The following is an 11,826-nucleotide window of genomic DNA, read 5'->3' as shown; positions in this document are numbered from 1 at the left end:
ATGCTGCCTGACTCCAAAAGCTTATCCATACCAAATGGCATCTCTACTTCTAGACTAAGATGAAATGACACGCTGCCGGTACGGTATCTAAACTTCCTAAGTAGCAAAGGAGGATGAATGCGGGAACCACAGGTGAACTCGGCCAATGGAAACCAGGAAATGGGAAGGAGGTGGGCCAATACATTCCCCCCTCCTTTCTCCCTCTCATGAATTACTCCAGAATTTAGCTCTTCCTCCCTGGCCTCTGAGACAATATTTGAGTGCCAAGCGAACACTTCCACCATGTGACCTCGCATATCTCCTCTGACTCTTCAAGAAGGGGTCTCCACTGCTTCTCCTTGCCTCTTCCCTTGCCTCACTCCACTTTTTCCTCAATCTCACTGCGCTTGTCTTGTGTTTCTCCAATGAAAAAGACTTTTAATCCTTAACTCAGCCTCTGCTTTTTAGAAAGACCAGTTAAAGGCCCAGCCTAGTTAGCAAGACTGGGTGTGCCATCCCTTATTTCTCAAATTGGATAATACTCTGAATATTGAACAGACAGAATTCCAAATCAATCCCCATATTCATCTCCCTCTCCCCATATATGCTGCAGTAACAACTACTGGGAAATTCTGTCAAAGCAATTGGCTATAGCAGAGTTTACTAATGAATAAGACGCCAAATAGGTTGGTTAAATGTCACCTTCATCATAGTAAACACATTTTTTTGCTGTTTGTTGTGCTGAGTTATCTGATTCTCAATAATGCCCATGCTGCTTTTGCCACGTCAAGACCAAGTGCAGCACGCAGCTTATAGGTTGGTGCCTCACTAACTTGGAAGTCATGCTCAATTATCAGTCAGCCTCCCACTATCACTCCCCTGGGAGATGTTATCAAAGTTACTGATAGCTATGTACATATAAGCAATACCTCACCTGTCACTGAGGACTCATCTGAACCTGATGCCATTTTTCGCTGGTACAAAAGTGAAGTGATGAAGAAAGAAGAGTTTTCTGAGGCATATTAAGATATAAAAGCTCTAGGAAGGTTTTTGAGATGGCTGAAGCCCATAGAACTAAGAGAAGATGAGGATCTGTCATTTAACTTGTCTTCTACTAGCTTTGATACTCCATTGTCTTGAATGAGTCATATATCCATTCTCTTAACTATCCACAGCGATTCTTAAACGTTGTTTCCAAAAACAATTTTAAAGAATAATACAAGTTTGGGAGGCCGAGGCGGGCGGATCACCTGAGGTTGGGAGTTCAAGACCAACCTGACCAACATGGGGAAACCCCGTCTCTACTAAAAATACAAAATTAGCCAGGTGTGGTGGCACATGCCTGTAGTCCCAGCTACTCAGGAGGCTGAGGCAGGAGAAGCGCTTGAACCTGGGAGGCAGAGGTTGTGGTGAGCCGAGGTCGCACCATTGCACTCCAGCCTGGGAAACAAGAGCAAAACTCTGTCTTAAAAAATAATAATAATAGTAATAATATTAATAATAATTTAAAAAAAAAATAATACAGAGCTAGAGTCTTTGCTTTAAACATTGTTTATTAACAGTTTATATTTTCTTTTTTAAGAATAATTTTTAAAGGTGGAAGAATGGGAGTGGGGGTGAGGAATGAAATACTAACTAAGGGTACAATATATACCACTTGGATGATGAGTACATTAACAGCCCAGACTTCACCACTACATATCAGTATACAAAACTACATTTGTACCCCAATTCTATTTTTTAAATTTAAATTTAAAAATATTTTTTATATTTTTATTCAGTCTTATAACCATATTTCTGCCATTCATTTATACTTTTGTGTTTAACTAATTTCAGTATTCATTGCCGATTTTATTTGCATTTTTTTTCATAAGTTATTTGGGTACAGGTGGTATTTGGTTACATGAGTAAGTTCTTTAGGGGTTATTTGTGAGATATTGGTGCACCCATTACCCAAGGAGTATACACTGCACCATATTTATTGTCTTTTAACCCTCGCCCCCTCCCATTCTTCCCTCCAAATCCCCAAAGTTCATTGTATCATTCTTATGCCTTTGCACCTTTATAGCTTAGCTCCCACATATCAGTGAGAACATACAACGTTTGGTTTTCCATTCCTGAGTTATATCACGTAGAATAATAGTCTCCAATCTCCTCCAGGTCACTGCAAATGCTGTTAATTCATTCACTTTTATCGCTGCATAGTATTCCATAGTATATATTATATATATATATATATATACACACACAACAGTTTATTTATCCACTCGCTGATTGATGGGCATTTGGGTTGGTTCCACGATTTTGCAATTGTGAACTGTGCTGCTATAAACATGCGTGTGCAAATATCTTTTTCAAATAATGACTTCTTTTCCTCTGGACAGATACCCAGTAGTAAGATTGCTGGATGAAATGGTAATTCCACTTTTAGTTCTTTAAGGAATCTCCACACCGTTTTCCATAGTGGCTGTACTAGTTTACATTCCCACCAGCAGTGTAGAAGTGTTCCCTATTCACCACATCCATGCCAGCATCTACTGTTTTTTGATTTTTTGATTATGACCATTCTCGCAGAAGTAAGGTGGTATCACATTGTGGTTTTGATTTGCATTTCTCTCATCGTTAGTGATGTTGAGCATTATTTTCATATGCTTGTTGGCCATATGTATATCTTCTTTTGAGAATTGTCTATTCATGTTCTTAGCCCACTTTTTGATGGGATTGTTTGTTTTTTTTTCTTACTAATTTGAGTTCGTTGTAGATTCTGGATATTAGTCTTTTGTCAGATGTATAGATTGTGAAGATTTTCTCCCACTCTGTGGGTTATTCCTGTTATTCCTGGGTTATTCTGACTGTTCCTTTTGCTGTGCAAAAGCTCTTTAGTTTAATTAGGCCCTGGCTATTTATCTTGGTTTTTATTGCATTTGCTTTTGGGTTCTTGGTCATGAAATCCTTGCCGAAGCCAATGTCTACAAGGGTTTTTCCAATGTTATCTTGTAGAATTTTTGTAGTTTCAGGTCTTCGGTTTAAGTCCTTAATCTATCTTGAGTTGATTTTTGTATAAGGTGAGAGATGAGGATCCAGTTTCATTCTCCTATGTGTGGCTAGTCAACTATCCCAGAACCATTTGTTGAAAAGGGTTCCCTTTCCCCACTTTATGCTTTTGTTTGCTTTGTCGAAGATCAGTTGGCTGTAAGCACTGGATTTATTTCTGGGTTCTCTATTCTGTTCCATTGGTCTATGTGCCTATTTTTATACCAGTACCATGCTGTTTTGATGATTATGGCCTTATGGTATAGTTTGAAATCAGGTAGTGTGATGCCTCCAGATTTGTTCTTTTTGCTTAGTCTTGCTTTGGCTATGTGAGCTCTTTTTTGGTTCCATATGAATTTTAGAATTGTTTTTTTCTAATTCTGTGAAGAATGATGATGGCATTCTGACAGGGACTGCATTGAATTTGTAGACTGCTTTAGCAGTATGGTCATTTTCACAATATTGATTCTACCCATCCATGAGCATGAGATGTGTTTCCATTTGTTTGTGTCATCTATGGTTTCTTTCAGTAGTGTTTTGTAGTTTTCCTTGCAGAGGTCTTTTGACTCCTTTGTTAGGTATAGTCCTAAGTACTTTTTTTACAACTATTGTAAAACGGGTTGAGTTCTTGATTTGGTCTCTGCTTGGTTGCTGTTGGTGTATAGAGGAGCTAGTGATTTGTGTACATTGATCTTGTATCTGGAAACTTTGCTGAATTCTTTTATCAGTTCTAGGAGCTTTCTAGAGGAGTCCTTAGAGTTTTCAAGGTAAACAATCATATTGTCAGCAAACAGTGATAGTTTGACTTCCTCTTTACCAATTTGGATGCCCTTTATTTCTTTCTCTTGTCTGATTGCTCTGGCTAGGAGTTCCAGTACTATGTTGAAGAGGAGTGGTGAGAGTGGGCATCCTTGTCTCGTTCAGCTCTCAGAGGGAATGCTTTCAACTTTTCTCCATGCAGTATTATGTTGGCTGTGGTTTTTAATAGATGGTTTTTATTACCTTAAGATATGTCCCTTGTATGCCGATTTTGCTGAGAGTTTTAATCATCAAGCAACACTGGATTTTGTCAAATGCTTTTTCTGCATCTATTGAGATGATAATGTGATTTTTGCTTTTGATTCTGTTTATGTGGTATATCACATTTATTGACTTGCATATGTTAAACCATCCCTGCATTCCTGGTATGAAATCCACTCGATCATGGTGGATGATCTTTTTGATATTATCTTGTTGGGTTTGGTTAGCTAGTATTTTGTTAAGGATTTTAGCATCTACATTCATCAAGGATATCGGTCTGTAGTTTTATTTTTTGGTTGTGTCCTTTCCTGGTTTGGGTATTAGGGTGGCTTCATAGAATGAATTAGGGAGGGTTTCTTCTTTCTCTATCTTGTGGAATAGTGTCAAAAGGATTGGTACCAATTCTTCTTTGAATGTCTGGTAGAATTCTGCTGTGAATCCATCTGGTCCTGGACTTTTTTGTGTTGGTAATTTTTAAATTACCATTTCAATCTCACTGCTTGTTATTGGTCTGTTCGTGGTATCTCATTCTTCCTGAATTAAGCTAGGAAGGTTGTATTTTTCCAAGAATTTATCCATCTCTTCTAGATATTCTAGTTTATGTGCATAAAGGTGTTCATGGTAGCCTTGAATGATCTTTTGTATTTCAATGGGGTCAGTTGTAATATCTCCCCTTTTGTTTCTTAGTGAGATTATTTGCAGGTACCATTGCTTTCATCATGTTCTTTGTTGCCTGTGTACACTGATTTTTTTTGTTTTTTTTTTAACTTGTATTTTTGTTTTATAGGTCCTGTGTGATTTTTGCTTTAAAGAGGTTCTGTTTGATGTGTTTCCAGGATTTGTTTCAAGATTTAGAGCTCCTTTTAGAAGTCCTTGTAGTGGTGGCTTGGTAATTTGTCAACTTTTCCTCAAACACAGTGAGCCTTTAATCTGTATGCTGAGAAGTATTTTCTTCAGTGATTTCTTTTAGTATCTCTTCTGTGACAATTGTTTATCCTTCATAAATCTTTACACTTTAAACATTTTTCTCCACTGCATGGCCTCTGTAAATATTCTTTTTCATGATATTTAAAACTCTAATTAATTTTTGCCTCTGCATTATGGAAGAAGTCATTAAATTTGCTTTCATATTGCTACTCTCTGTTACTGATTTTATATTAACCTTCTGCTGTTTCTGATGTTGATTTTAATTCTGTTTTGTATTTTTAATTGCTGTGTAATCTTTTTTCATTGCATTCAGCTTCAGCTTCACCTTGAAATAGTGGCTTTTGAGCTCATCTGGTCATCTTTTCTCTGTAACTTTTTCGCTTTTTATAGCTTTTCATTCCTATTTTATAGATGCCATATCGTCACATATGTTACTGTGGACACTAACTTTTTCTAAACTTTTTTCTGACACCAGGAATTCATCATTTGAAGAGACTGTCATTCCTCTGAATTTTAACAATTATGTAATATCTCTTGTATTCCAACATAATTTTACATGTTGAGCAACATCCCAGCTGTTGTTGAAGTCTGTTATTATTTTTCAGTTTACTCCTCGTGGAAAGAGAAAAGATCTATCTAGTCCCAATGTTTGCCAACACACAGGGGTTATGGCTTAGCTCTAACACAGCTTACTACAATTGGAGGGTATAATGATATATTAGCATCTAACTTGATTTCCAGGGTTTAGAGATATTCTGCTATTATGGCTCTGCTGGATTTCAGTGAAATCATTAATCCTATTCCTGCTATTTGACTATCTGATTTGGTGAACCATTGGAGTATTCGGGCTGTTCTTCTTTTTGCTCCCACCCACAGGATTTTTATATATTGGTACTCTATCTCCAGTAATACAAAGTAAAACTGTTTGCCACCTCCCCACCCAAATGCTGATATCTTGTCCTGTTGTTTTCTGGAAGTTTCAGTATCCAAACGAATGTTGAAAAAGAGGTACTAATGAGGAAGGAGAAAATAAGGGTTGGGACGTGGAGACAGTACTCAGATAGGACTATAAAGACCCCAATCAGAAGGCAAGCAAAGGAATAAGAAAGGGATGATGATGGGTTAGTTAAGTTTCAGGTGGCAAAATAGATGTCAACATCACTTCAGCTCCATTTGTCTTAGAAAATAGAAAATTATCCCAGAAACTGGCAATAGATAAGGTGCAGCTTAGGTTTAAAGCTATTTTGAGTTTGTGTGTAGTGAGGGGAACAGTGGTTCATAGGGAGACAGTGTGTGCCTTTACAGTGGACATCATAGTAGAAAGTAGGGGGTCAGTCAAGGGATTATTGACATGTATATTTCAACCCAGAAGTTTCTACCCTACACTGTAGACCTGCAAAAATCTGCTAGGAAATTGTTGAAATTGCCCACTACCTAAAAACTCTTAAAGTTGGCAATTGCTTCGTATGCCTGAAGGGAAAATACAGATAAATTCAACCTCCACTGGAATCAGGTGGAAGAGGATAAAGATTTAGTAGTTTAAATGCACTATTAATTTATGTTGAAGTCACTGAAAATATTCATATCTTATAAGTAATATTAATTACTGCTAGCAGAGTGTTCCTATTCCATTTGGGCTTGCAAATGTCAGCAGAAACCCAAGTCTGCCACAAATCAACATAATAAGATAATATTTCTGAAATATTACCAGATGTATTTTCATTTTCTAAAATTCTTGTTTCATACATGGAAGCTGAGGCATCCAGCACTTCAGAGGAAGGAAAGATACAGCCAAGAACAACAAAGAAATTGTCCAACGTTGACTTTCAAAACAAACTTTCTAAAAGAGCATAAGTAGAAACAATAGTCTTTAGTTGCCAGAGCCAGGCATTGGAGAGAAAGGAGTTCTCTTAATCAAACAGTGTCTCTCTAAATATCCAGAATTATCTCTGGCTAATGCTTTTCTCCTTTTGCCTAAACTAGTTGTGTTTCGGTCACATGTAGTAAGAAGAATCCTTATCAATATATTGCTTTTTTAATGTGCTAAACTGTAGCTTCAATGTACAATACTCAGTGAACTGAGCTCTGGGTTCAAAATTAAGAACCCCAAATTTTATATTTACTTATCACTGCCTTTCGATGTAAGGTTGAGCAATCCATCAGTTTGCTGTTTTCAGTTTAATGGATTTCACCTAAAACTCCATCTTTTCTTTGAAGCCTTTCCTGGCTATGGATAAAAGCAGTCTGTCTCAGTACTAATTCTTCCATCTATTAATATGATCTCTTGCAATATACTTGAAATTAGCATATAATATCCCTACCTCTTTTACTAATTTGATTTTAGCATAATATTTCTTTTATTTACTTGTTTGAAGATTTGCTCTGAGTAAATAACAATGCAAGACTAAAATAATAACAGCTGTTGTGTTGCTCCATGATGGTGCCTACAGAGGTTAGAAATTGGATCTTTTTATCGTCCTGAAAGCACCTTCTTCAGCACCACATGCATTTGTCATTGTGCTCCATTTTAGCGTCTCCATTTATTTAACACGTCTTCTACTTGGTAGTTTCATTTAGTTATTAACTGTTCATTCGCAATATAAATTCTCTTTTATTGCCAGTGAATAGGAAGTGTGTGTTTTGTTCCATGGACTTACTTTCATTATCATCCTAGTAAGTAAGTATGAGTTTACCTGAGTTTTACTATGTGTGAAGTGCCCTGTAAAGGGAATTTCACAGACAGGTCTATATCTATTCATTTATTCATTCAAGAAACATTTATTTAGTTCATGAGGATAAAGAGAAAAACAAAAGACACTCATTCTCCTGGGGACGTCACAGAGTAGAGGAGGGGACAGACAAAACCAGTTATGGCAACAAAGAATAACAGGGCTGTGAAACATGACTAGAATAATATTGAAGCTTAACTCCTTTATTCTCTAGAATTTGTTAATGATTATGTTATAAGGCTACTGAAACAACTGCTGAACATGTTATCATAATTACTGAAAAATGTTCAGAACTGGGGAGGAGTTGAGATTTCCGGCTTCTACCCCAGATTTCCATCTTGAATCACATAACCTCTTGGGTTCTGTTCTCTCTATAAAAGGAGAATGCTACGTGAGATGGCCTCCAACATTCTCTCTGGCTATCACATGCTACAAATCTGTAATTCTAAAGGCTACAGAAGAAACTTCTCTACAACTAGTTCAAACTGCAACCTCTCAATAACACATAGCTTTGAAGTTCTGGTTCACTGCCATCTTATCTAGCTATGTTTAATCTCCCCTCAAGATGAACTATCTGCGTGGGAATTAAAAATTGGACACATTATTGGTAACTATACCACATTCCTGTGAATCAGACCAATAGCCATCTGGCCCTTGAGTGTGTTTGAAAACACTGCCAAGCTTAGGGAACAGCCCTTACTCAGGCGTCTGGCAAGTATTGAGTCAGACTCCTCTCTGTGATTGGAGTTCTTTGTTGGAAAAACTGTTTGTGCTTGGGAAGGCTGTATTGCCTGTGTTGTGGGCATCACTTAGCTAATAGGAACATGGCCTGGAAAATAAACAGTGAGAATGTCCTGGCAATGCTTTCCTTTATGCCCCCCGCGTCAGTCACTCTCAGTTCATTTGTGGTGTGTATGTGTATATACGTTAGGTTTCCTTAGCATGTTCTTGGCAGGAAAAAAAAGAAATACCTCCTCTTATTTTGAAGTCTCCACCATCTAATTAATACATACACATTGGCTTAGAACAGAGCATCTTTTATAAAGAATAAATACCTCAAGCTTTGAGAAGTCTCATGAGAAGCATCAGAATTACTTGTCTGGAACCATTTTATACCAAGCTATTTTTGAATGAATGAGGAACCTAGAATAACTGGAAAACTAAAGGTTTCTCATTATTTCTAAGTCAGTAACAGAAATTTTCTTAATCAGATTAATGGATTGACATTTTAATCTTGCATTGTTATTTATTTTACTCAGCTAAAATTTTTTGAGTTTGATCCTTAACTTGGGCATAGTATTAAATGCTGTACATGAGATAATTGGTGCTTCTCTTAGTAAACCTAAGACTTAGGTGAAATTGTTTCCCCTGTTTTAGAGACGAGAAAACCAAAGTTTAATGCTTTTTCCATTTAGAAAAAAAAATGCAGCTCGCTACCAGCACTCATTTAATTTTACATAAACACATTCTTTGAGGCTAAAGCCAATCCGACTGATTTTCAATGTGAAAATAAAATATAAAAACTGTTCTTGGGGTTACTTCTAAACAGAACTAACATCAGAATCATCCGTTTCAGAAAAATCAAATTCATCAAATGAATCATTGGCCAACAACTGCTCGTTGTAGGAATGCTACGTTTTCTAGGATTTGACATTTTCAGCGATGGAGAATTATTACATTTTTGTAAACGAAAATACCACTACTAAAAACAGAATGCTATCAATAGAATGGTGTCTCTTGTTTCCAAAGTTGATATAGTAGAGCGATGTGAAAATAATAATAAAAGCGAGATATTTTGTGGCAAAGTTATCTTGGAGTAAACGCTGCAGCCACCGGCAAGTCGTCTCAAGGAAAACAGGAAAAGGGTTAAAGAAGCTTAGACAGGAACTTTCCCAAAGTCCTACAGGTATAGGTAGTGGTATTAAGGCTTGAAGCTGGGTCCATCTTACTCAAAAACCATTTTCCTAAGCACAACAATACACTGTCTCACAGTGAAGGCTCAGCAGTCAGGCTACAGGAGTTCTAATTTTGGCTCTACCACCGACCAGCTGGACAGCGCTGGACTAGTTTCTTAAATTCTTTGTACCTCAGTTTTCTTCACTATAAATTTGAAAATAATAAAATGTAACTTTTATGGTTGGTGAGAAGTCAATTAAACACTTACAAAACCTCACATATAGTAAATGCTGAACAAATGGTAGCTATTTTAATTTTTGTTCATTCAGCATAGCACTGGCTGAATGAATTAAAGACAAATTATCAGGAAAGATCAAGATAATATGTGGCCTCCATATCCAAGGGCCATATAGTCTAGGGGAGAGGAGAGGTATGTAATGAAATAATTCAACACAAGGCAGACAATGAAAAAGAGAGAGAGAGAGATACAAAATGCTATAAGGGCCCAAATGAAAAAAAGAGTATATCCAGTTGGAAGAGTACAAGACATTTAATGGAAAAAAAAATGACATTAGAATTGGACCAAAAATGAATGGAGCGTTTAAATTGCTGGTCATACAGTTCTAGACACTGGGATCGAAAAAGAAAAATCCCACTGTCTGATGGTGTTTTATGTCCACAAATCAGATTATAAAATCGTGAAGAGCAAAGACTGCTTCTGTTGTTCCCTCCTGAGCACTGCAAAACAGTTGTGGTTGTTCTGAGTGTCAATATTCACTCACGTCACCAACCCCTAGGGACCAGTTTGTTCACAATTGTGGCAGCAGCCTGCACCCCACACCATCATCTCTCACTCCATTACAAGTCTTTGGCACCTTGTAAGTCATCCATATCTATGGGCACTGGAAACTAGAGAGAATTTTGTAAGGAGAAGGCCCACATGGAAGGTCAAGGAGGTCCATATATACCATATGGAATTTTAAGGAGCATGCCCAAAGAAATTATTTGTCAGAGAATCATAATGATATAGTATTTTTGAGTAATTATCAGTAGTTCTAGAAGATTTAGCAACTGGCTTTCTAACTGCTTCTCCCACTCAATTCCCTCCTAATCCCAGACTTATATTTTCAGCTGCTTTATTGACGTTCCACTTGAATGTTTCACTCCAAGCTAAAATATGAAACACTAAGTTGATGATCCCTCTCCCTACCTCATGTTCTTCTTTTTCTTTGTCTGTAAGTGGCCGACCGTTGTTCCATTTGTCCGAAATCTAAACGACCGCCATCCAAATAGAAATACAATGTGAGCCACATACATAATTTTAAATTTTCTAGTGTCCACACTAAACATTTTTAAAGAAACAGGTTAAGTTAATTTTAAATATATTTTATGTAATGCTGTATGAACTAAATATTAGCATTTCAACATGTAAGCAATGTGATATTTACATTCTTCAATATAAAAACCTTAGAAATCCAGAGTATATTTTACAATTACAGTACATCTCAATTTAGACCATCCACAGTTCAAGCGGCCAGTTGCTACATTACTGGGTCTTTGTTACATAGAAAATGCAGGTCTGTCTGCATCTGAAAAGTGACTCTTCACTCTTGTTCCCTCACCCTCCATCTCCAAGCGTTTAGTGTGTCTCCGTAATGTCTCTCATAACTATTTTGCCATTTCTATTCAACACATGTAAGACCAACCTCTCCAAAGTGCTATCAAAAACACCATCAATGGCTCCCAGTCGCCTACCAAAGAGGATTCAGATGCCTCACACTGGTGTTCAAAGCCTTCCACAAAAAGTGCCCTGATTATTTTAGGGCATCACTTTTCTTTGCCCCTCTCTAACACTAGTCTCCTTCAATTAATCCAGACTACAGATTGTTCCCCCATCGTATCCCTACTTTCCCAACCCTTTCACTTTGGTCATTGGCTCCCCTCTCTGCCTATTAAAATTTTACTCTTTCTTCAAAGTTGTTGCTGAACTCTACTTTTTCATTAATGCTTGCCTGTTTTTCCCAACTAAATAGAATCTCTTCATTATTTTATTGCACGATTCTGTATTTCTCATGCAACTTAGGCAAATCTATTTTGTGTATATTTTTCTTATCCCTTCTAATTTTTAGCCTGTTGCGAGCCAGGATGGAATCTTTAAAATCTCAGTATCCCAGGCAACAGTCAACTGGTTCCTTGAATCTACAAATAGATACGTAAGAGAAGCCAATCTCTGAGACCCATT

At 37.1% G+C, this 11,826-nt stretch overlaps 1 pseudogene; it reads left to right on the top strand.

Moving 5' to 3' along the window:
- Positions 514-1,020, top strand: LOC100419079 (tubulin alpha 1c pseudogene; annotated as a pseudogene).

The sequence above is a fragment of the Homo sapiens genome, chromosome 14, assembly GCF_000001405.40.
Source record: "Homo sapiens chromosome 14, GRCh38.p14 Primary Assembly".
NCBI classification, from domain to species: domain Eukaryota; kingdom Metazoa; phylum Chordata; class Mammalia; order Primates; family Hominidae; genus Homo; species Homo sapiens.
This window is presented reverse-complemented; position numbering and strand designations above follow the sequence as displayed.